This window comes from Homo sapiens, chromosome 2 (genome assembly GCF_000001405.40).
Source record: "Homo sapiens chromosome 2, GRCh38.p14 Primary Assembly".
NCBI classification, from domain to species: domain Eukaryota; kingdom Metazoa; phylum Chordata; class Mammalia; order Primates; family Hominidae; genus Homo; species Homo sapiens.
The window spans coordinates 9,668,951-9,695,251 of record NC_000002.12 but is presented as its reverse complement, the minus strand read 5'-3'; the positions used below and the strand labels follow the sequence as shown (position 1 = coordinate 9,695,251).

The following is a 26,301-nucleotide window of genomic DNA, read 5'->3' as shown; positions in this document are numbered from 1 at the left end:
TGGAAGGTCGAGGCTGCAGTGAGCTGTGTTCAAAGCGAGACCCTGTCTTAAAAAAAACCAAACAACAAAAAAATCAGTAAGCAAAGTGAAAGAGGCTACTTCAAGGAGGGAAATAGGGAGCAGGGGCAGGAACTGCTGTTGTGTTTCTACAAGACACCTTCTAGAGCTATTCTCTTTAATATATGTGCATAAAACACAAAGGAAAAGGAGAAAAGAGGGTGGTGGCCCTCACTTCTGTCTTTGCTCCGTGAGAACAGTTGCATTCCTACATGGAAAGCTCTTGGGGAACCCGAGGGGCACGGGCAGATTGACTGGAGTCCAACTTCAGAGCCGGAGTCTCTGGCATACAAGCTTTCTAGTGGCAGCCAACAGCGCGGAGGCCCACGACCAGTGAGAATGAAGCCCCTGAGCCTGGCCCCGCAGCGCCAGCCCCTGACCAAGCTAAGCATACGAGGCCACTCAGCACAGGACGTGTAGGTTCTGTCCCAGTGATGGAAACTGCATGGTTCCAGTCTCTCTTCCCGGGGAAGGGGGCACCACGCAGTCCGGCGAAGTGCAATTCCCCCCACCCTGCCCACCCCAGCCCCGAGCACCGGCTTGGCACCCACTGGGTGCTCTGAACATTGGCAAATGCATGTCATGGACAAAACACTGAGCTCTCAAATTTGGTATGTGTGGCCGGGCACGGTGGCTCACACCTGTAATCCCAGCACTTTGGGAGGCTAAGGCAGGTGGATCACCTGAGGTCAGGAGTTCAAGACCAGCCTGGCCAACATGGTGAAACCCCGTCTCTACTCAAATTACCAACAAAATTAACTGAGCGTGGTGCCAGGCACCTGTAGTCCCAGCTATTCAAGAGGCTGAGGCAGGAGAATCGCTTGAACCAGGGAGGCGGAGGTTGCAGTGAGCTGAGATAGTGCCATTGCACTCCAGCCTGCGCAACAGAGTAAGACTCCGTCTCAAAAGAAAAAATAATAAAATAAAATTGGTATGTGTGTCTTTTTCCTCTGGTCCTCACATCTTCCATGTAAAGGAGATGGATTTTTTTTTCATATTCCTTTCTTCAGACAAGATAAAGGGGTGTTTTTATTTTTTTCAAAGCCAATATTGAGAGTCCAGAAGATGAAACAATGTCCCAAGGTTGTAGGGCTCCTGCTTGTGGAGGTGAGATGTTCTCAAACTCACTGTGCTGGCCCTCACCTGACCACAGCAAGCCCGGCTTCCTTTCACGTCACCTTTCATTCCTGCTTCTCGGAGGCCTCACAGAAGCCGCCCACGGAGAGGCAGGGGTGGGAGGCCACGGAGCACTCGAAGACTTGGGCAGCGCTGGCACAGGACAGTGCAGTGAAATGGGACACACGGACCTGAAATGGGATGACCAGCGTGCCAGCCTTTGTCCCTGCAGTGGCTGCACACAACGATTCACCTTCGTGACTGTTTCAGAAAGCAATTTAGGAAAGCCTGCGAGAAACTGGGTCAATGTGCAGGCCTGAGTGATGACAGGCCCAGGTTTTCCTTGGGAGAAAATTCTCCTGCAGGGACCCAGCTGACGAGGGGTCCAGGGTAAGCATGAATCTACGCGGATCAAGCCCTCAGCAGGATTAGGCTTGTCACTCACACAATCTGTAGGTGTATTTGTGGGATGAGGAGACCTGGAAACTGAGGCTCAGACATGCCAAGTTACCTGCCTAGGAAGTGGACAGCGCCCAAGCTTCTTCCACCAGAGCACAAGGACCAACCCAAGCGGGGTTCCTGGGAGTCAGAGCTTCCGAAGGTGGCTTGTCCTGGACTCTCATCTGCAGCATACCCAAGACTAAAAAATGAGCTGATTCAAGGGAGGGTGTTAGCCGGGTGGCGGGCCCGCGGGGAGCCCGGTATTTTTAGCCATTTTGTCATACAGACCAGGATGGAGAGATGAGAAACCGCAGGGACTGGCACAGGCCTCAGGATGAACTCACGAGGCCCAAAATAGGAGGAGCCCAGCCTCCTGATGCCTGTCCAGGCCTCTGTGCTGAGTCAACCACAGAAGTGCCAGTTGCTTTCTTGCTTTCTTTTTTTCTGGGGCCCCAAATCTCTTTTAGAAGGTATTAAATCAAAGAGAGATTGAGCTAGAAGGAAACTTAAAAGATTTTAGTGTCTAAGCCCTTTCTTTGACAAATGAGGCTAAAAGAGGGGGAGTTTCCTGTAAAGTACTGGCAGGACCCTCACCCTAGGCCCCTTGACCACACCCTGTCTCTGCACCATCGCAGGGCAGAGGGCCGAGGTGGAGTGTGGAGGGCGTGGCCCCGCCGTTAGAAAGCCCTGGGCGTGGATTCCGTCTCGTTGCTCACAAGCTTGGCAGCTTCCAACTACCGCTTTGCTTTCTCTGTGATGCTCATTTCTCAAATCGGGATATTGCGGATTTTTGAGAGATTCCAAGGGGACAACATACAAACATGACTTCTCGTCCTCTTCCTGTTCCACCAACTTCAGGGAATTGGGAGGAAGGAGATCTAACAAGCTGCTGTAGGAGTCCCCGGTAGAACCCTTCCAGCAGCCATTCCCTCCCTCCTCCCCCCAGGAGAACCTGATTGTGTCCAGCATCCTCTCCCCCTGGCCAAGTGCTTCGGGAGGTGGTCAGCGCCCAGCACCAGGGTGCGAGTAAGACGATCCTCAGCCACTTGCCGGCCAATCAGAAATGAAAGGGAATCTGCTGGGGCAAATGGTCCCCGGACGTTGTCATGCATATGTGACATCTGGGCCTAGGGCAGCTTTGCCAGGAAGGGCCTCAACCTGAGGGCTAAGGACAGCAGAGAAGAAAAAAGTAAAGAACTGGAGTCCATGGCTCTGGACTGCTTGTCACGTGAGATCACAGATTGCTCACCCTCTAAGCCATTCCCCTTGGAGGCTTTTGATATTCGAAGCCCACCCAGATCATTCTCACTGCAATGGATGAGTCTGAACAGAAGTACAGTTTTATTTTTAATGCCAAGGCTAACTCAGGACTGAACTCTCCTTGAGGCCCTTTCAAAAGATGGTGCAATTTCATTAATCCAGCAGTCTCCTTGGTCATGCAAAGTTCCTGACCATCCTGGTGCTCCCGATGTGCCTGTGTGTTCGTCTGTGTTGCACTTGGATCCCGAAGTCAGGTGTCCCAGTGATGTCAAAAGAAACTGTGAGGCCAGGCACAGTGCTCATGCCTGTAATCCCAGCACTTTGGGAGGCCAAGGCAGGCAGATCACCTGAGGTCAGGAGTTCGAGACCAGTCTGGCCAACATGGTAAAACCCCACCTCTACTAAAAATACAAAAATTAGCGGGGTGTAGTGGTGAGCACCTGTAGTCCCAGCTACTTGGGAGGCTGAGACAGAATTGCTTGAACCCAGGAGGCGGAGGTTGCAGTGAGCTGAGATCACACCACTGCACTCCAGCCTGGGCAACAGAGCCAGACTCCATCTCAAAAAAAAAAAAAAAAAAAAAAAAGAAGAAGAAAAATTGGAGGGACTGTTTGTTCACTGCCTCCTGAGAGCTTCACGTGACCTCTGGGGGCACACCACCAGAGTCTGTGTCCCACCCTCCCTCGTGGGTCAGGTCTGGCTGTGGGGAGCCTGCATTTGTCCCTCCCAGTGGCAGCCAGGCCTGGGCTTTCTCCTCAAACTGTCTCCCTGCCCCTTGGCCCTTTCACACTGAACCACAGAGTTTAATCTGGAAGAGGGGCTAGAGAGAGGGACTGTGAAGATGGTGGCCAAGCCAGGTGAGGCAATGGTGGGAGGGAGGGAGATGGGTGACAAGATTCAATTCCTGAACTGTCAAAGGTGAGGTCTCTGCTGGTCTCAGGACTCCATTCTCGGCTCTAAAGACCCAGGCAAGCAGATGTCATTTGAAGGCCAGAAATTTGGGAAGACATAAAATCAATATTTATTGAGCAACTACTGTGTTCCAGGAACCATCCTTTATGAATGAGGTTGCTATGCTATCCCCATTTTACAGGTGATGAGACTGAGGCTCAGAGGGTGGAGAGCACCAAATCGAGCATCAAATCCAGGTCAGAAATCTGGTGGGTTTAGCTCCGAAGCCTGTGCTTTCCACAGCACCGACTGCCCTCAGGCGTCACATTAAGGACGCACAGAGTAAACTGGACTCATGACAGCTTTCATGTGAGAGCGATCTCACTGCACTTGGCTTTTTAGTAAGAGGCAAAAGATTTATATGATCTGAAGAGAAACCTTTTTTAGGAAAATTAAGCACGATGGGTTCCATGTGCCTCCCTACTGGGAAGAGCGAGGCTGCTGGCTGCAGTGGGTGGGTGGCTCTTTTCCTGGACGGGTCCTGCTTCTCATCACTCTGCTAGGCTAGGGGGAGCCCCAGGCTCTGCTACCTCCACTCCCGCCATCACTAGCTGGTCCCCACCACCAACCCAGGAAGGGAAGCTTATTGGAATAGCACAGTATGTCTGTGTATGCAAGTGGTTTTGTGTGTGTGTGTGTGTGTCTGTGTGTAGCTAAAACTCAAGTCTTGGTTGAGGAGGGAGTGAAACTAAAAGGTCTGTATATTTATTTGACTAGGCCCAAGTGGGGATGTGTACGTGGGTGTGTGTGTGCTGGTGTGTGTGTAACCTAATGTTGTTTGTGTCCATGAGGCTGAATTTCAACTCAGGATCCTGCATCCCAGCTCCTTCTGGCCAGCATGAGGAGGCTGGCGTAACTGGGGAGGAATCTGCTAGGACTCGCTGTGAAGCTACACTGGTTTCCTCTCAGATGGATCTGGACTGGTCTGGATGAGCCACAGATTCTGAATCCCCCAGGGGCCGCATTTCCTTCCTATAATCCCTTTCTGTTGTTAGACCGCGCGAGTGAAATCAGATTGAGGCTGATTTGCAGGAAGCACCTGAAACAAAATATTCCGAGGTTGCCTCAGGACCTGCCTGGGGTCCTGGGGTGTCAGGGCCACAGAGTCCACAAAGGAGCCAAAGGGACTAAGCTGCACTCTTCCTGCCTGGGGCCAAGGCCTGAGCACCCCCTTCTCACACTGCCTCCCCACTGCCCTCCACCAGGAAAGACCTCACCAACAGGAGCTCAAGGAGCGTGAACACCAAGGGGGCACACAGCATTTATTTTTCCTGTCCCTCTCAGTTGTCGTTTGTGAAGGAACACTGGAGCCAGTGCTTCCCCACTCTTGCCCTCGCTTTTGTTTTTTGTTTTTTTGGAGACGGAGTTTCACTCTTGTTGCCCAGACTGGAGTGTAATGGCATGATCTTGGCTCACCACAACCTCAGCCTCAGCCTCCCGGGTTCAAGCAATTCTCCTGCCTCAGCCTCCCGGGTTCAAGCAATTCTCCTGCCTCAGCCTCCTGAGTAGCTGGGATTACAGGCATGCGCCACCACACCTGGCTAATTTTGTATGTTTAGTAGAGACGGGGGTTTCTCCATGTTGGTCAGGCTGGTCTCGAACTCCCGACCTCAAGTGATCCACCCACCTTGGCCTCCCAAAGTGCTGGGATTACAGGTGTGAGCCACCGTGCCCAGCCTTGCCCTCGCTCTTAATGACCCCCAAGCTCTATCTATAACAGGGACGAAGAAGTCCATCTTGTTAACAAAAGTTTGAGCCTCCATCTCCTTCCCAGAAACCCCCCTACCTTCCCCTTCTCAGGCCTAGGAAGGCCTCGCGGCAAGTGGAAGGGGTACTCCTCTGAGTGTTGGGGCCTCTGTCCCTCATCAGCAGCATCTCTGGCCAGCCAGTCAGCTTCCTAAGTCCTTGTTCTTCATTTGTGAGCAGAGCTAAGGTTTACTCCTAGCTCGCTAGATGCAGCCTCTCATGCCTGCAATCCCAGTGTTTTGAGAGGCCAAGGCGGGAGGATCGCTTGAGGCCAGTTCAAGACTAGCCTGGGCAATTTGACGAGACGCCCTCTACAAAAAATCGAAAAAACTCCGTGGTGGTTCATGCCTGTAGTCCTAGCTACTGAGGAGCATCACTTGAGCCCAGGAGTTCAAGGGTGCAGTGAGCTATGATCATACCACTGCAGTCCTCCTGCCGTAGACCCTGTCTCTAAAAATAAAAATAAAATGAAAAAAAAAAAAAAAAAGAATGTGGATCCAACTCCTGGGAAGTAGAAGCTGTTGGCGTTAGAACTTTGCCCACCTTTTCTCTATCATGTATGTAAAACATCTTTTTCTTTCATTATCTGCACATATTTTATTCTGGTTATTATTTACATATCTTTTTCCATTATGTACTTGCAACGTTCCTGAATCCTTTTATTTAAGATGTAAATAGCATACAGTGGGTTTAAAAAAAACAAATAGTTTCACGATTTTTGTCTTTTGTAACAAGATTATCTAGGCCGGGCACAGTGGATCGTGCCTGTAATCCCAGCACTTTGGGAGGCCAAGGTGGGCGGATCCCTTGAGGTCGGGAGTTTGAGACCAGCCTGGTCAACATGGAAACCCCGTCTCCACTAAAAATACAAAAATTAGCTGGCTTGATTGTGCATGCTTGTAATCCCAGCTACTCAGGAGGCTGAGGCAGAAGAATCATTTGAACCCAGGAGGTGGAGCTTGCAGTGAGCCGAGATCGTGCCATCGCACCCCAGCCTGAGCGGCAGAGCAAGACTCTATCTCAAAAAAACCAAACAAACAAAAAAAGACAAGATTATCTAATCTATTTACATTTTACATAATTTCTGATATATTTCTATTTAAATATACCATTTTTGTGATAATGGTATTTTAGTATTATAATTTTAAAGTCTTTAATAAAAATACACTCTACAATGTTTATGAATAAAATAACATGATGTCTGAGATTTGTTTTAAAATACTTTAGGAAAAAGTGTGAAAGATAAATGAAACTAGACTGTTAAGTATTAGAATAATGGATGCATAAGGTTCATTATACTATTCTGTATATTTTGTTTTTATTTATTTAGAGACAGGGTCTCAATCTGTTGCCCACGCTGAAATGCAGTGTTACGGTCATAGCTCACGGCAACCTCGAGCTGCTGGGATCAAGCAATCCTCCTGCCTCAGGCTCCAAAGTAGCTAGACTACAGGCCTATACCACCATACCTGGCTAATTTTGATTTAATTTAATTTTTTTTTTCAGAGACAAGGTTTTACAGTGTTGCCCAGGCTAGTCTCAAACTCCTGGGCTTCAGCAATCTTCCTACCTCAATCTTCCAAAATGTCCGGATTACTGGTGTGAGGTACCATGCCTGGCCTATTTTTGTGGTACTTAATTTCCTGTAATAAAAAGTGTTTTTTAATCTGCCTTTTTTTTTTTTTTTTAAAGAAATGGAGTGTTGCTATATTACCCAGGCCGGAGTGCAGTTGCTATTCACACGCACAGTCATGGCACATGCTATAGCCTGGAACTCTTGGGCTCAAGGGATCCTCCTGCCTCAGCCATTAAGTAGTACATACTACAGGTGTATGCCACCGCACCTGGCCACCTGGCTCTCTATCTTTATACTTTCTAGTTGTCCTGCCTATTTTATGTTTCTTTTTCTCTCATATCTAGCCTTCTCTTAGATTGATTATTTTTTAGCATTCTACTTTTCCCTTTTATTCATTTGGAAGTTACATACACTGTTTCCATTTATTCAGAGTTTACTGTTGAAATTGCAACATGCATTCTTAGCTTAACCAAGTCTAACATTAATCAATATTTTAGCCCTCCCCTCTCCATTTAACTGCATTTATTCCTCCCTCAACTTATCTGCAACTGTTTTCATGTATTTTAATTCTATTTTTAAGCCCTTCAGGACATTATGATCATTGCCTAGTGTAGTCTGTGTTCATTTAGATTTATTCACACATTCACCAGTTTCTTTGTTCCTCATTTCCTTTTGTACCACAGACTTTCCAACTGGAATTATCCTTTTTCTAACTGAAGTACATCCTTTAGAATTTAAGTCTTTGTGTGACAAACTCTCTCAACTGTCCTTGTATGAAACTGTCTTTATTTCTGAAAGACGTTTGTGTGGAGTGTGGGAGTCTAAGTTAGCAATTATTGCCAGCCCGTTGAATTGTTATCTTGGGCTTCTAGAGTTGCTTTGAGAAGTCAGCTCTCAGTCCCTCTGGCTCGTGTGCATTTTTCTCTCTAGCTACTTCCCAGGTTATCACTTTCTGGTGGTTTTTCTGAAGTTTCACGGTGACGTATTGCAGTGTAGATTTCATTTTATTTATCCAGTTTAGGATTCACTGTGATTCTTTAATTTGCGGATCGATGCCTTTTATTAGTTCCACAAAATTCTCAGCCATGATCTCCTCAAATATCACCTCTGCCACATTGTCTTTCTCTTCTCTTTCTAGGCTTTCAGCCTATATTGGGCTTTTTCGCTCTATATCTCTTGCCTTGTCACTGGAATCTTCCATCTTTTTGTCTTTCCATGCTGCACTCCGGAAACGTTTTTCTAACCTATTTTACAATTCACTAATATATCTCTTCTGCTATGTACAAACTGCTATGAAATCCGTCCTTTTGGTTTTTATTTCAATTATTGCATTTTATTATTTCTACAAGTTCTATGAGGTTCTTTCTCAAATTTTCTATGTGACTTCTGAAAGATTCCTATTGCCTAAAGAATCTTCAAGCCTGCATTTGATTTTGTTAGTCACTATAGCTTCTAATACTCTGGTTCTTGCCTATTTTCTGTGAGAGCCTAATTGTCTGTGACAGGTCTGCTCATTGTATTCAAAAGGAATAATTTGCCACCCATTGATAAAGACGCCTCCCCAAAGAGGATATATATTTGTTCCTTCTAGGCACCAGGTTCAAGGCTTGAGAGTTTCTGACCCAGGTGAGGCAGGAGAATACGGTCTGGAGGCAGGGAACCTAAGGCGGGTTCACACTGATTTCCCAGAACTGAATCAAAAGGAAAAACTCCTTTTTGTAACCCCTCTCCCCTTTTTCTGCCTCACAGATGAAAAATGAAAATACTTCTGACTGGTCCCTTCCTGCGACCAATGAGACTGGTCGTGGGCCTAGTCTTAATTTGCATAGGGGTATAACTTTGTAACTTCATTTCAGCTTCTGATTGGTCGCTTCCACGACCAATCAGACTGGTTGTGGGCCACTACTTCATTTACATAGGGTGTAAACCAAGTAACCAATGGGAAACCTCTAGAGGGTATTTAAACCCCAGAAAAGTCTATAACCCCCCACTCTTGCGTGCTGATTATTGGAGTGTTCTCGGTCTGTGGGGCGTACTTTTGTTTCAATAAATCTGTGCTTTTGTTGCTTCATTCTTTCATTGCTTTGTTTTTGCGTTTTGTCTAATTTTTTGTTCAAAATGCCAAGAACCTGGACAACTCGTAGTCAAGACTCTCCACTAGTAACACAGGGGTTTTTCCATTTACAGATTTTAATTCTATATTTCTCATCTTGAGAATCTTAGGTTCTAATTTTCTGGTTTTAGCAAATGACCTCAGAGAAAGAGCATTCTAATTCTGGCTTACTTCTCTGAACGAATGTTCCCTTCATTTTTGATGTGGTGGTTTCTTGGTGTCTTAATATTTCTTTAATGCTTTCATCAAGACACGTCTTACTCATATTTTTTAGTTTCTTTCAGTAGGAAGATTGTTCCAAATAGCCTGTCAACCATCCTGGAAATTAGAAGTGTTTTTGAATTTTAGACTCTAGATTATAAAATCCTCATATTAGAGCAGTGCTTCACAAACTTTAATGTGCATAAACATTACATTGGGATTTTTTTTTTTTTTTTGAGACAGTCTCACTCTGTAGCCCAGGCTGGAGTGCAGTGGCACCATCTCCACTCACCGTAACCTGCGCCTGTCAGGTTCAAGCAATTCTCTTCCCTCAGCCTCCGGAGTAGCTGGGATTACAGGCATGTGACACCACGCCCAGCTCATTTTTGTATTTTTTTTTTTTTTTTAGTTGAGATGGGGTTTCACCATGTTGGCTAGGCTGGTCTTGAACTCATGGCCTCAAGTGATCCACCTGCCTCGGCCTCCCAAAATGTTAGGATTACAGGCGTGAGCCACTGCGCCCGGCCAGTATCTTCTTAAAATGTGTATCCTGACTTAGCCTGGGGTAAGAAATCATGAATTTGCATCCTTAACAAGCTACAGATGCTGTTGGTCTTACTGCTTCATGGACCACTACTCTGCGTGGGAAAGCAATAAGGGACATTTTCCCAGAAAAATTGGGAATCTCTAAGTTTGTTAAACAGTGCTTCCGAGTTTCCTAAATAGGTGTTATAAAATTTAAGCACTTTACTCTCTTTTTTCCTTGTTTGAAGTCTATTGATTCAAATTTACACTTAATTTTAACAAATCTATTTACCTGATTTCCTAGAACACAAAAGAGTAGGAGTGTGTGTGTGTTTGTTGGGTAGAGGAGGGTCTGCCAGAGACAGGGACATAGATAATTGTCAGAGATATCTGGTCCCTGAATGACTCTTAAGCTACCTGTTCTGGCTAAAGCAGGGTCAAGTGTTACGACCAGCCTCCAGGTCTGACAATGCATTATCTGTAGCAATTGTTTTCAATTTTTTGGTCTCAGGACATCTTTACATTCTTAAAAAGTATCAAAAAATCCAAAGAGCTTTTAATTATGCAGGTTATATCTATCAATATTTACCATACTGGAAATTAAAATAGATAAAAGTTTTAAAACGTATGTTTATTAATGAATTGAAAATAATGCCAGGCATGGTGGCTCATGCCTGTAATCCCAGCACTTTGGGAGGGTGAGGCAGGCAGATCACCCGATCTCAGGAGTTTGAGACCAGACTGGAGAACATGGTGAAACCCCATCTCTACAAAAAATACAAAAATTAGCCAGGCATAGTGGTACCCACCTGTTGTCCCAGCTACTTGGGGAGGCTGGAGTGGGAGGATCATTTGAGCCCAAGAGGTGGAGGCCGCAGTTAGCAGCAATCACGCCACTGCACTCCAGCCTGGGTGAGAGAAAAAAAAGACGAAGAGGAAATAATGATTATCCACTACACATTAATATACCTTCTGAAATATAATTGTATTTTTCAAAACAAAAATAAATTTCCTGAGAAGAGTGGCACTGTTTTACAGTTGGAAAACCTGTACCTGCTTTTAAATTCAATCCATTGTGATATTTTGGTTTGTTTGCAGAATTTAAAGAATAGCTAGGCCGGGCACAGTGGCTCACCCCTGTCATCCCAGCACTTTGGGAGGCTGAGGCGGGCAGATCACCTGAGGTCAGGAGTTTGAGACCAGCCTGACCAATGTAGTGAAACCCCATCTCTACGACAAATACAAAAATAACTGGGTGTGGTGGCGGGCGCCTGTAGTCCTAGCTACTCGGGAGGCTGAGACAGGAGGATAGATTCAATCCAGGAGGCGGAGGTTGCAGTGAGCCGAGATTGTGCCACTGCACAAAGCAAGACTCCGTCTCAAAAAAAAAAAAAGGGTAGTTTCTTAGAGGTAGTTGCAGTGGAGAATCTGAGTTCCATCAATGAACTTTTTATGCTTGGTTACATTAAAATCCATTATTTTATCTGCTACTTTCAATGCATCTCTTACCCATGCATGATTTTGTAACATAATGCATTTGTTATTTGCAAAGTATTGGTTCACTGAGTGATATAGAGCGTCCAAATGTTGATATGTTTCATCATACAATATTAAAAAACAGGCCGGGCACGTTGGCGCACGCCTGTCATCCCAGCACTTTGGGAGGCCGAGGCGAGTGGATCACTTGAGGTCAGGAGTTCGAGATCAGCCTGGCCAACATAGTGAAACCCCATCTCTACCAAAAATATAAAAAATTGGCCAGCTGTGGTGGCACGCACCTATAATCCCAGCTACTTGAGAGGCTGAGGCAGGAGAATCGCTTAGACCCGGGAGGCGGAGGTTCCAGTGAGCTGAGATCACGCCACTGCACTCCAGCCTGGGCAACAAGAGTGAGACTCCATCTCAAAAAAAATAAAAAACAAAAACCACACTCATTCATCTTTACCCATGGCTCATCGTTGTTTAAGTACTGGGAGGCTTAGCTGAAGGTGGCAGATACAAATTTTCTAAATTCTAATTTTTCAGTTGAAAACTCAATTTGGTTTTTTTGCCAACAAATGCTGTCAGTTGTTTTCCTTGAAGCAACAGCCTCCTCGGTTGATTTTGTGGAAATGTTTGTCAAACATCTAAGTGGGAATAAGCAGCACTTGTTTGTCAGTTGTCCTTTGCAAGTAAAAACGACACTCCCTGAAAAACGCTGCTAGTTCAGCCTGCACCTGCGTGATGCAAGTGCTTTTCTTCAAATGTCGCATGTGATCACTTCCCAGTTCCTCGTGCAGAATATTAAAAGGACATGTACTCAAAGGTTGAGATTTTATAAAATTAGTAATTTCTACAGCTTCACCAAGGACATTCTTTCTGTTCTTTTTTTGAGTCTGTGTTTGCCAGGTGATGAGGAGCACAGTGACTGCTAGAGCAGCCTGGGGCCTCTGCCCCGATCCATGCCGAGGTGCCAGCAGTTTACACACCATCGCTTTTGTACTATCAGTGCAAAGGCCACCTCGGTGAACAGGGCACGACAGCTCAGTATTATTATATTATAGAGATAATTTTGACCTTGAGGACTCCTTGAAGGGTTTTGGATTCCGCTAGGGTTTCAAGGACCACCATTTGAAAGCCAGTCCAGCTAAGATTTTAAAACCCTACTAGGCCGGGTGCAGTGGCTCACACCTGTAATCCCAGCACTTTGGGAGGCTGAGGCGGGGGGATCACTTGAGCCCAGGAGTTTGTGACCAGCCTAGGTAATATAATGAGGCTCTGTCTCTACAAAAAAATTTAAAAATTAGCCAGGCGTGGTGGCACGTGCCTGTGTGCCTAGCTACTTGAGAGGCTAGGTGGGAGGATTGCTAGAACCTGGGAAGTTGAGACTACAGTGAGTCGTGATCACGCCACTGCACTCCAGCCTGGGTGACAGAGTGAGACCCTGTCTCAAAACAATAATAAATAAATAAATAAATCTTACTATAAGATATTTCATAACCCTTGGAAACAAGGAAGTGGAGCTGTATATCCTCACGTGGAACTTTTTCTAAGTCAAATTTAATATGTAAAAGTAAAAATTTAAACAAGCAAGTAATGGGACAATAGTATTTTATGTACTATGACATCACATTTGTGTTTGTGTTTGTGTATGTGTATGTGTGTGATGTATAACATACTGTTAGTAATTTCTTTTGGGGAGCTTCAAGGTTTTGTTGTTTTGTTTTTTGGGTTTTTTTGAGACAGAATCTTGCTGTCGCCCAGGCTGGAGTGCAATGGCGCGATCTCGGTTCACTGCAACCTCCACTTCCCAGGTTCAAGCGATTCTCCTCCTCAGCCTCCCGAGTAGCTGGGATTACAGGCACCACGCCTGTGCCACCACACCTGGCTAATTTTTGTATTTTTAGTAGGGGCGGGGTTTCACCATGTTGGTGAGGCTGGTCTCCAACTCCTGACCTCAGGTGATCCTCCCGCCTTGGCCTCCCAGAGTGCTGGGATTACAGTCGTGAGCCACCGTGCCCGGCCTCAAGTTTTTACTTTATATGTCTGTATCCATCTACTAGAATAATGTATTCATATGTTGTTTCATTCAATGACTCAACAATTTTTAAAAATGAAACAAAGAGAGAGGAAAGAGCCCATTCTCTCAGCTTAATGGCTCCTTCCTTCAGGCCTGGGCCCATGGCAGGCAGAGGAGGAAGCCATCACCACATTTGTTTCCTGGGGAGGGACTGGGGAGGGAGTGTGGGCACTGAACCGGTCTCTGAGGAGTGTGGCTTGGGGAGCCTTGAAGAGATCAGGCAAATGCACACGTTCTGCCGCCAAGGCTTTTACCAAACAGCCCAGTTTTCTCCCTAGGTGGGAGCAGAAGAAGAAGGGAATGCTTTTACTTCTTTTTGTTTATATTTGTAGCAATCTGCAATAAAGGAGGTGAAATAACTGCTTTTTTTTTTTTTTTGAGACAGCTTGCTCTGTCACCCAGCTTAGAGCACAGTGGTGCAATCACGGCTCACTGTAGCTGTGACATTGCAGGCTAAAGTATTCCTCACACCTCAGCCTCCTGCGTAGCTGGGACCATGGGCACGTGCCACCACGCGCAGCTAATTTTTTACACAACTTTTTGTAAAGACGGGTTCTCACTGTGTTGCCCAGGCTGGTCTCAAACTTCTGGGCTCAAGTGATCCTCCCACCTTGGCCTCCCAAAGTGCTGGGATTACAGGTGTGAGCCACCATGCCTGGCCTGAAGTAACTTCTACCTCAGGATGGCTGTGGTGGCTGAGGGTAGGCTGGGAAGGGCTGGGCCTGAACTACTGTCTGTGGGAGAAAGGTCTTGGGGGCAGGCCTGTGGCTGGAAGGAATTATAGTGCAGCAGATGGAGCTGAGGCCTGCAGGAGCCTCAGGGAGAGAGGGTTGAACTGCTGGCCCTCCTCCTTCAAGGTTAGGAGATCTCAGGCAACTGGCTTCCTCTCCCTGACTCTTGGCTTCCTGGTTTGTAAAAGGGGATATAACACAACTCGCAAAATATTGTTGGTGAACAGTAAAGGAAATAATGTGCAGGGGATCAAGCAGAGTCTAGCACATAGCACTCATTCAATGGGAGTATGATCCTAAGAATAAGTGTTAATCAGGCAAAATGTAGGGGAAGATGCTATGGACTGAACGCCTGTGTCCCCCCAAAAATCCATATGTTGAAAACTGTTCTGTGGCAGGCAGATCTATGCAAACCTACCCCTAAAGGCAAGGGGAGCTGAGAGGCCAAAGAAAGAGGCTGACAAAATCCAGTTTCTCAGAAAGAAACATCTAATAGAGGCTTAGGAACAGAAGGCATGTCTTGGGCAAGATGGTGGATCTCCAAGTCCTTATCATCTCCCAGACCCAGGGCCTATGTACCATAAAGAAAGGATATATGTGCTTCAGAAAGAGTTTGCCTGTGTGGAGGATTTACAGTAAACAGTAGATAAAGCAGAAATCTTAGAGGCATTCCTGGAACTGGAATTAATCAGAAGTCAACATGGCAGACTAGCATCCAAGATGGAGTTGCTTCAGCGCCTACAAAACCTAATCTCCAATGTGATGGCATTAGGTGGAGAGTCCTATGGGAGATGATTAGGTCATGAGGGCAGAACCCTCAAGAATGAGATTAATGCCCTTATAAAAGAGGCCCCAGAGAGGTGCCTTCCCCTTTCTACCATGTGAGGACACGTCTATGAATCAGAAAGCAGGTCCTCACCAAACACCAAATCTACCTTGACCTTGGACTTCCCAGACCCCAGATCTGTGAGAAATGAATTTCTGTTGTGTATAAGCCACCCAGTTAATGGCCTTGTATTACAGCAGATAATACAGCAGATAGACTAAGACAGAAGGGTCCCACTGGGGTACTGTCACTGACATGCCACTTTGCGGGAGGCCAGCAAGAAGAGTGGCAGGGACTGGGGCTCCAGGAACAAGTGTGTGGTTCAGACACAGAATTATAGCACCTGTGGAGGTGGAAAGGTGAGAGCTGGAGTGTCCCAGAGCATGAGGCAGGTCAGCAGGAAAGAGCCCAGGCCCAGGCCCAGGAAATGAGGCAGGGTCCTATGACCCAAGCAAGAGAACTCGGCAGGCAGCCTATCGTGGGCTTGTGGCAGGCAGGGCTGGACAGACCTGTGCAGGCACCCACATGTTCTCTCAGCCTGAAGGCAGGAATGCTGCCCCTCTTCCCCAAGTTCCATGCACTCAGTCCAGGGCCTGAAGGAATGGATGAAGGACCCCACGAGGTTGCAGTCCCACCACATGCTACAGCCAGGGTGTTGGGCACAACTTTTAGGACTCTTTCAGCCTCGGATCTGATGGGTCCTATGGACTGGGCTGGGCTGTGCCTCCTGTCATGTGCAGTGTCTTAGTCTGTTCCAGCTGCTATAACAAAATATCATAGGCTTGTAAACAATAGAAATTTTGTCCTCACAGTTCTAGAACCTGGGAAGTCCAAGATTAAGGTGCTGGTAGACTCAGTGCCTGGAGAGGACCCACTTCCTGGTTCATAGACAGCTATCTTCTCATTGTGTTCTCACATGGTGGAAGGGGCAAGGCAGCTCTCTGGGGTCTCTTCTCTAAGGGCACTAATCACATCGTGAGGGTGTGGTCTCATGATGTAATCACCTACTAAAGGCCCCACCTCCAAGTACCATCATTTCAGCAGTTAGATTTCAACATATGAATTTTGGGGGAAACACAGACTTTCAGGCCATAGATGGAGGAAGGCCTGGAAGCAGGCACTGGGATGGGCTTGGTTTTCAGGGTGTCTTACGTCTGCGTGGGCCTGAGACATGGGAGCTGGGCTTTGAGGCATGGGTGTGATATGGTCTGACTCTGTATCCCCACCCAAATCTCATCTTGAATTGTAATCCTAATTGTAATCTCCACATATTGGGGGAGGTGATTAGATCATAGGGCGGTCCCCCCGTGCTGTCCTCGTGACAGTGAATGAGTTTTCATAAGATCTGAGGTTTTATAGGGGGCTTTTCTCGCTTTTGCTCTGCACTTCTCTCTCCTGCCGCCATGTGAAGGAGGACGTGTTTGCTTCCCCTTTCCTCGTGATTGTAAATTTCCTGAGGCCTTCGCAGCCATGTGAAACTGTGAGTCAATTAAACCTCGTTCCTTTATAAATTACCTAGTCTTGGGCATTCCTTACAACAGCATGAGAACGAACTAATACAGGTGGTGCTTGGCAGAACTCAAGAACTTAGTAGAATATCAGCCTACTGAGAAGTCCAAATCACAAATCCTGCTTTCAATTTCAGTGAGGAAGTAATATTACCTAACATAAAATAATAATAAAAATAATATGACTGTGTATATTCTAAAATATGGTACAATTAATGAGAGCTATAGGAATTTGTTTATTCTTTTATTTACTCGTATCTTTTAATGAGCGTATCTGCTCAGAAGCCAGGACAAGATTGTTAAATGTGACTACTAAATTTATATTTAAAACTTTTATGAGGCAAAAATAAATAAATAAGAAATAAGAAGAAATAATATACAACAAACTGGGGGGGAAGAGATTTTATACATATATATATATATATATATATATATATATATATGTATGTATGTATACAGGCTAATTTCATTAAAATCTAAAGGACCTAGGCAAATCAATATGAAAGCGAAAAATACCAAATAGGACAATGAGCAAAGGATATTGTAACTAAGTAGTTCACTGAAAAAGAAATACAAATGACCAATGATAACATTTTAAAAATACAACTTTTCTCAAATTAGTGCCAGTCAGAAGAGTGAATTGTATTCTTCAGACTAGTAAAAATTACAAAGGTGACTACATTGTGTTGGCAAGAGTTTCTGGAAAAAGACTCCTGCCCTGTGCTTGGAGTTTGATTTGTTGCCACCTTTTCGGAGACCTTTGACAAATTCTAAATGCCCTTTCTATGTCCTACCAATTTCATTTCTAGAAATTTGTCCTATACCCATGTACAAAAGCAAATAGGTGCATATAAAAAGAGATTATAACAGCCAGGTGCGGTGGCTCAGGCCTGTAATCCCAGCACTTTGGGAGGCTGAGGTGGGTGGATCACCTGAGGGCAGGAGTTTGAGACCAGCCTGGCCAACATGGTGAAACCCTGTCTCTACTAAAAATACAAAAATTAGCTAGGCGTGATGGCAGGCAGCTGTAATCAATCCCAGCTACTCGGGAGGCTGAGGCAGGAGAATTGTTTGAACCCGGGAGGTGAAGGTTGCAGTGAGCTGAGATAGAGCCACTGCACTCCAATCTGGGCAACAGAGTGAGACCCTGTCTCCAAAAAAAAAAAAAGAAAAAAAAAGAGAGATAGAGAGAGAGGGGATGCGGATACAGCACTGTCTAAAATAGAAAAAAAGCAATTTAAAATGTGAGATTGTTTAAATAGACTTTTCTAGACTTCTATTATGGTATATTATGCATCGATAGATTAATGTAGATCTATACATGTTGCCATGGAAAGTTTTAAAAGCTATATTGCTGGCCAGGCCAGGCATGGTGGCTCACACTTGTAATCCCAGCACTTTGGGAGGCCGAAGCAGGAGGATCACTTAAGGTCAGGAGTTCAAGACCAGCCTGGCCAACATGGTTAAACCCCATCTCTACTAAAAATACAAAAAATTAGAGAGGCATGGTGGTGGACAACTGTAATCCCAGCTACTCAGGAGGCTGAGGCAGGAGAATCGCTTGAACCCAGGAAGCAGAGGTTGCACTGTACCTCTGCACTCTAGCCTGGGCAACAGAGGGAGACTCCATCTCAAAAAAATAAAATAAAGCTCAATTGCTGGACAGGCATGGTGGCTCACCTATAATCCCAACTACTCAGGAGGCTGAGGTGGGAGGATCACTCAAAGCCAGGAGCTCAAGGCTATAGTGAGCTATGATTGCACCACTGCACTTCAGCCTGAGTGATAAAGCAAGACTCTGCCTCTTAAAAAAAAAAAAAAAGATACATTGCTAAAGTGAAAAGGGCAAGCATGGGACAGCGTGGCTTATATGGTCCTGTGCATATGCTTATGTGCTCGGTGCCTGAGTGCACATGTAGTATGGTCATTCAGGCGTAGTCAATATCTAGAAGACTGCTTTCCTCGTGTATGTGGATGCCTCTGAAGAATGAGATTGAGAAGTGGCAGGAAACTTTTATTCATTTTTTGCCTTAGACCCTTCTGCAATGTTGGAATTACTTTTAAACCAGTTTAAAATTGTTACTGAGCATCTAATCCATACCTAGTGTCGTGTTGTGCCCTGCAAGTACAAAGATAAAATTCACATTCACTGGCCTCCAGCAGACCCCACGTCACGAGGACAGAAGTGTAGAAGAATAGGTCAGGCACAACATGTTAAATGTGACAGTGCAAGCTCGGTTTTCAGGGACGGGAGGCAGGGTCCGGCACCACTTTTTGGAGGAGCTGATATGTGAGCTCTGAAGGCTCTACTGAGCCATTGAGGCAGAGGGCAGGTGGAGGACCCCAGGCTAAAAGAAGAACTGGCACCAGGGTGCAGAGCCCCACAAGCAGGTCGCTTGGGGGTCCCCAGGTAGTTTGCCATGGCTGACATGTGGTGACTGTGGGCATGCGGTGAGAGGCAGGTCTGTAGACAGGGGCAGAGCACATAGGGCTCTGGGGTCCTCCTGTCTTCCTGCAGGAGTGGGCAGTCATTTGTGGCTGCAGTCAAAGTGGTGGCTTCTTGGAAAAGAAGAAGCTTCTGGCAGCTTCTGGCACCTTCTAGGATTGTTTGTGCAGGATCTCAAATTCTCTCTCTTTCTTGGTTGGCTTTTAACAAATCTTCCTGTGATGGGGAGTGTGTGAACGGCTGGAGAGCAGAGGAGCTGGAAGCTGAGACCAGGTCATCTGAATCACTCCTTTGTAGAGGGTGCATGTTTTCCCGACAGACTCCTCTCTGTTGTAAGTGAAAATTGCTGAGGGAGTGCGCTCCTGGGTGTGCTATAACAATCCCCTCGGGGTCCTGGCTGTGAAGATGCACTGTGCTGCTTCTCACAGCTATCCGGGAAGCCAGAGCTGTGCAGTTTCCCAAGGCCCCGCCCTGCGACCTCCCCGCCATAGAGTAAGGATGGGGACAGAAGAGACAGCAACACGTTTGCAAATCTGTGATTCTTGTTTCTTAATTTCCGTCTGTGTTTATAACCAAGCTCACTGAAGGAATAGATCAAGGATGATGTCAGCAAGCCTGGGGAGTTTGACTACTTAGTCATCCTCAAGGAAATGGGGCATTTGGTTAATTGAATTCTGTGGCTCAGATTGAGTTACCACGGTGACAAAGGATAGATGTGCCAGAGCCGAAAGCATTGAGACATTAAAAGACTATACTTAACACTCCATGCTGGGGATTCAGTCTTTCTGGGAGAATTCAAAAGGAACCAAGTAGCTGGCAAAGCCTGATTCACTGTAATGGGCATCAGTTTCACTGCCCAAGATTTTGGAGGTAAGAGGTTCTGGAGTTTGGATCGAGTCAATGGCCTCAGGCAAGCATTGGCCCAAAACCCTTCACTGGCTCCTCAAATAGGATTAACGGGTTTAAGAAAAAAAATGTCCAGTTAAATTTGAATTTCAGATACACAATGAATACTCTTTTAGCATAAGTATGTTCATGCAAATATCCATTGTGTTTCTGAAATTTGAATTTAACTGAGCATTCTTTATTTGATCCCGCAACCCAATCCCAAAGTCTACAATTTAAAGCATCAGTTCTGGCATCCAGTTCGCCAGGGTTTAGCCCCTTCCTAACTTTTCCCTCCCAAAACTTCATTTCCCACTCCCTGTTCCCTTATTTGTACCAGTTTAGCGTCCACACAAATTCAACTACCTCCCACACAGCAGGTTGTCTTTTGCTTTCTTGCCCTTGGTTCTTTGCCAACTTGTTCCCCTTCACTTTCAATTCTAAGTGAGTGGGTACTATAACATCCTTGACCCCAGGAGGACAGAGCCTCTCTCCTTTTTAAATATCTTTAATATCTTCTTGAATGAGCTTCTGTCATTATAGAGGGCACTTACTGCTTGGTCTGCCTGACACCTCCTCCCTTCTGGGAAGCATGCCTTCTTGGGGGAACCGCTCCTCCTCTGACTCTAACCCTTTGATTTTAGCAGGAGCTTCCCAACTTGTTTTATTTATTTATTTATTTATTTTATTATACTTTAAGTTTTAGGGTACATGTGCACAACGTGCAGGTTAGTTACATATGTATACATGTGCCATGTTGGTGTGCTGCACCCAGTAACTCATCATTTAACATTAGGTATATCTCCAAATGCTATCCCTCCCCGCTCCACCCACCCTACAACAGGCCATGACTCTGCCCCTGGTCACAGATGACTGGCCCAGAGGTGGACACCTGATCCAAGCCAGGTCCTATTAGATCCTTCTCCAGGCATTCTTAATATCTCATTTTGTCTGGCACTCAGTTCAGATAACATCCCAATGCCTGTACTGGGCATTGAGCCAGAATCACCATTCTTATCCAAAACATAATCTTTTTATGTGTTAGGATCTATCTATAGTCTAAATTAGCATCTCACCTAAGGACACTCACCCCCGTGTGACTGTGGCGATAGAATAGAAGAGGCCACAATATAACAGGATAAGCCCTGGTCTGGGAGTCCAGAGAGAGACCTGAGCTCTAGTGGCAGCTCGGCCACTAAATTTCTGCAGGACTTATCATCCCAGCCGACTGCAAGCCCCGAGGGCAGGACCACCTCTTATCCTTCTCTCCAGCCTCAGCACGCACACTGGGTAGGTGTTAGATAAATGGTTGACAATGATGGTGATCATGGTGATGGCAACAATGACATGGCATGACTGCTGTTCCCTGGACCTCAGCTTTCTGGGTTTTTTTTTTTTTTTTTAGAGTTCTGTTGCCTATGCTGGAGTGCAATGGCATGATCATAGCTCACTGTAGCCTCACACTCCTGAGTAGTTACCACCTCCCGAGCAGTTACAACTACAGGTGTGCACCACCACACCTGGCTAATTTCTCTCTCTCTTTTTTTTTTTTTTTTTTTTTTTTTTTGGTAGAGATGGGTCTCACTATGTTGCCCAGGCCAGTCTCAAACTCCTGGCCTCAAGGGATCCTCCCACCTGAGCCCTTTCAAAGTGCTGGGATTACAGGTGTAAGCCACCACACCCAGCCTAAATGTTCTCAATAAAACCCCAAATTAAATACTTAATGTGGCTCTCTCTTTTTTTTTTTTTTTGAGACAGGGTCTCGTTCTGTCACCCAGGCTGGAGTGCAGTGGTGCAATCTCAGCTGACTGCAACCTCCGCCTTCTGGGTTCAAGCAATTCTCCTGGCTCAGCCCCTCAAGTAGTTGGAACTATAGGCATGAGCCACTATGTCTGGCTAATTTTCATATTTTTAGTAGAGACGAGGTTTCACCGTGTTGGCCAGACTGGTCTTGAACTCCTAACCTCAAGTGACCTACCTACCTCAGCCTCCCAAATTGCTGGGATTACAGGCGTGAGCCACCACACCTGGTCTGCTCTTCAAAAGAAAGACTGTCAGGAGAAAGAGAAGACAAGCCACAGGCTGGGAGAAAATGTCTGCATAAGGCACTTCTGATTAAAAACCGTTATCTAAAATATACAAAGAACTCTTAAAACTCAACAGTAAGAAAATGAACAACCCAACTAAATAATGGGAAAAAGACTCAAACAGGCTGGGCACAGTGGCTGATGCCTGTAATCCCAGCACTTTGGGAGGCCGAGGCAGGTGGATCACTTGAGGTCAGGAGTTCGAGACTAGCCTGGCCAAAATGGTGAAACCCTGTCTCTACTAAAAATACAAAAATTGGCCAGGCGTGGTGGTGGGTGTCTGTAGTCCCAGCTACTCAGGAGGCTGAGGCAGGAGAATTGCTTGAACCCAGGAGGTAGAGGTTGCAGTGAGTTGAGATGGCACCATTGCACTCCAGCCTGGACAACAGAGCAAGACTCCATCTCAAAAAAAAAAAAAACATACAGACCCCTCACCAAAGATGTACAGGTGGAAAAATAAGTGTATGAGAAGATGCTCGACATCATACATCCTTAGGGAATTACAAATTAAAACAACGAGATACCACTACACGCCTATTAGCACGGCCCAAATCCAAAACACTGGCAACACCAAATGCTGATGGGGATGTAGAGTAACAGGAACATGGGAGTGCAAACTGGTACAGCCACTTTGGAAAACAGTTTGGGTTTTTTTTACAAAACGAAACATACAATCACGCTACTTGGTAGTTACCCAAACAATTGAAAACTTATGTCCACCCAAAAACTTGCACAAGAATGTTTAGAGCAGGCTGGGCACGTGGCTCATGCATGTAATCCCAGCACTTTGGCAGGCCGAGGCGGGCGGATTGTTTGAGGCCAGGAGTTCGAGACCAGCCTGGCCAACATGGTGAAACCCCGTCTCTACTAAAAATACAAAAAATTAGCTGGGCATGGTGGCATATGCCTGTAATCCCAGCTACTCGGGAGGCTGAGGCAGGAGAGTCACTTGAACCTAGGAGATGGAAGTTGCAATGACCTGAGATCATGCCACTGCACTCCAGCCTGGGCGACAGAGTGAGACTCCCTCCGTCTCAAAAATAATAATAAAAGAATGTTTGGAGCAGATTTATTCATAGTTGCCAAAACTTGGAAACATCCCAGATGTCCTTTAATAGGTGAATGGATAAACTGTGGTATATCCACACAATGGAATATTATTCAGTGCTTTAAAAAAAAGAGCTATCAAGCTGCATGGAGGAAAATTAAATGCATATTACTAAGTGAATGAATCCAAGCTGAAAAGGCTACTTACGGTACAATTCCAACTATATGACATTCTGGAAAAGGCAAAACTATGCAGACAGTAAAAAGATCGGTGGTTGCCCGGGGTTTGAGGGAAGAAAGGGATGAATAGACGGAGCAAGGAGGATTTTTAGGACAGTGAAACTATTCTGTATGATGTCATAATGGTGGATACTGTCATTATACAGCTGCCAAAACACATACCCTAATGTAAGCTATGGACTGTGAGTGATAATAGGGTGTCAATATTGGTTCATCAATTGTAACAACCTCTTTGGTGCAGAATGTTGATGGTCTTTGCAGGAACAGGTATATGGGAACTCTCTGTACCTTCAGCTCAATTTTGCTGTGAGTCTAAACTGCTCTAAAAAATAAAAGTCTCTCTCTATAACAATATGTATACTTAATATGGAATTGATATGGGGTGGGGTTACAATTTTTTTTTTTTTTTTTTGAGACCTGTCTCGCTCCGTCTCCCAAGCTGGAGTGCCGTAGTGCAATCACAGCTCACTGCAGCCTTGACCTCCCGGGTTCAAGGGATCCTCCCACCTCAGCTTCTCAAGTAGCTGGGACCACAGGTGCCTGCCACCACGCCTGGCTAATTTTTTTTTTTTTAAAGACAGGATCTTGTTATGTTGCCCAGGCTTGTCTCAAACTCTTGGACTCAAGCAATCCTCCCACTTCAGTCTCTCAAAGTGCTGGAATTACAGGTGTGAACCATCACACCCGGCCGGGGCTACAATATTCTTAAAACAAGGTAGTCCAGGAATAGACTCTGCGTAATAATCATTTTTCGCCTTCCTGTTTACTAAATCTACATATTGTATAAACTTTTTTTTCTTTTTGAGACAGTCTTGCTCTGTCTCCCAGGCTGGAGTGCAGTGGCACGCTTGGCTCACTGCAAGCTCTGCCTCCCAGGTTCAAGCAATTCTTCTGCCTCAGCCTCCCAAGTAGCTGGGATTACAGGTTTGCGCCACCACACCCAGCTAATTGTTGTATTTTTAGTAGAGATGGGGTTTCACCATGTTGGCCAGGCTGGTCTCAAACTCCTGGCCTCAAATGATCCACCCGCCTCGGCCTCCCAAAGTGCTGGGATTACAGGTGTGAGCCACTGCGCCCGGCCTACACCTTGTACAAACTTCTATCATTGGAGTGATCACATAGATCTTTATCCAACTGAGGTATGCATAATATTAGGAGTATGTGAAAAGATTTTAGGTGATACACAAATGAATGTTTTTATTCTACTATTTATTTTAAAATGTATCAGACTAAATATGGGTAACATATATAGTATTGATAGGAAGTTTTCCTTTAAGATAAAGAATGTATTGAGAAAATGATAAATAGTGCAGGGAGCACTGAGGTGGCCTGACACACAAATAGAAATATGGCCCCCCCAAAAAAATCCAGGAAAGGGAAACATAGAGAATGGGTTTGTTTTGCAAATGCTGCTGAGTGGCAACCACCTGGTTACGCACCAGGGAATTTGTAGGCCACCCCAAGCCTCTCTCATCTGCCCTTTACAAGGAAGGCCTTTTGTGTATTTAGGGGGTTGATATGCAATGTGTTGGTGTCACTTTATAAAATCAATACATTTTAGGAAAGTTGCACTTAAATTGAACTGTTACAAAGCAAAAATTCATAGTGAAGGCTGGGCCTGCTGGCTCATGCCTGTAATCCCAGCATTTTGGGAGGTCGAGGCAGGCAGATCACTTGAGGTCAGGAGTTCAAGACCAGCCTGGCCAACATGGTAAAACCCTGTCTCTACTAAAAATACAAAAATTAGCTGGGCATGGTGGCGTAAGCCTGTAATCCCAGCTACTTGGAGGCTGAGGCAGGAGAATCTCTTGAACCTGGGGGTTGGAGGTTGCAGTGAGCTGAGATTGCGCCACTGCACTCCAGCCTGGGAGACAGAGCGAGACTCTATTTTCTCAAAAAAAATAAAACTAAAAAATGAAATAAATAAATTTAAAAAAATCATAGTGATGCTTACTATTCACTGGCTACTAAAGTGGCTTAAAAAAAATGACAGGCCAGGCACAGTGGCTCACGCCTGTAATGCCAGTATTTTGGGAGGCCAAGGCAGGCGGATCACGAGGTCAGGAGATCAAGACCATCCTTCCTAACACGGTGAAACCCTGTCTCTACTAAAAATACAAAAAAAAAAAAAAAATTAGCCGGGCATGGTGGTGGGCGCCTATAGTCCCAGCTACTCGGGAGGCTGAGGCAGGAGAATGGCATGAACACGGGAGGCTGAGCTTGCAGTGAGCCGAGATGCCCACTGCACTGCAGCCTGGGTGACAGAGCGAGACTCCATCTCAAAAAAAAAAAAAAAAAGACAGGGGCTGTGAGAAATCCATCAGCTACTTTGTGTCACATCCAGAAAATAACTAATGGCTCCACCCCAGGGCTACAGCTGCCCAGAAGGGTATTATGAAGGATTAAAGAGTATCAAGGCAGTAATTCTAATTCAAGACTCACAGTGCCTTAAATCTGTCATAATGAGAAATGAAAACTTCTATTTCAGTATGCTGACAAGAAGGCTTGGAGACATATTCTCAGAAAGAGGCAGAAATCTGAAGTCCAGGAGTAGAAGCTCAGCTGGGGGTCAGAGCGAGGTTGGGCGGGGGCCAGACAAAGATGGGGGCGGCAGAAGCCAACAAGTCCAGGCAGTTGAGGCAGAGGGGCCTCAGAAGCCTAAGTCGGTGCTCAAAATACATATCATTCACTTTTTCCTCAAGAGTGAATGAATGGGCCTGGCGGGTGTTTCTGTTACACAGAAGCCTTCATCTTGACGATCTGTCTGGGCTTTCAGAAGATTTTGTGAAATGTTCTGCCAGTATTTACTCAGCTGCATGAACCTCTTTACTTTTTAAGTAAACATCTTTTAGATTCAAGAGTAAATGAAACCTTAGGGAGTCAAAGCAAGCAGGCAGAAGATTGCAAATCTGCTGATTGCAGTCTCCTATCTATATGTTCAAAATCAAGAACTGGCTCCAGGTAGCTATCCAGCCCTGGAGCTTAA

General features: G+C 45.7%; 1 long non-coding RNA gene across 6 annotated transcripts in view, besides 2 other annotated features; it reads right to left on the bottom strand.

Annotated features, from left to right (window-relative positions):
- Positions 1-26,301, bottom strand: part of LOC105373418 (uncharacterized) — a 74,555-nt gene that overhangs the window by 18,048 nt on the left and 30,206 nt on the right. The window contains exon 3 of one of the 6 annotated variants that reach the window (NR_187867.1): positions 16,842-19,383. The exons of the other annotated variants lie outside the window; for them this stretch is intronic. This is a non-coding gene — a long non-coding RNA (uncharacterized LOC105373418). Of the gene's footprint in view, positions 1-16,841; positions 19,384-26,301 lie in introns of those variants that run through there. 6 annotated transcript variants of the gene reach the window in all.
- Positions 2,094-2,153: an enhancer, noted in NCBI's record as "active region_15289". NCBI's record gives its function as "activates an Ori minimal core promoter by ATAC-STARR-seq in GM12878 lymphoblastoid cells {active_cell/tissue: GM12878}" and the evidence as "EXISTENCE:reporter gene assay evidence [ECO:0000049][PMID:35858748]".
- Positions 2,307-3,106: an enhancer, noted in NCBI's record as "NANOG-H3K4me1 hESC enhancer chr2:9832275-9833074 (GRCh37/hg19 assembly coordinates)". NCBI's record gives its function as "activates a minimal SCP1, AML or CMV promoter by ChIP-STARR-seq in naive H9 embryonic stem cells {active_cell/tissue: H9 hESC(naive)}" and the evidence as "EXISTENCE:reporter gene assay evidence [ECO:0000049][PMID:30033119]".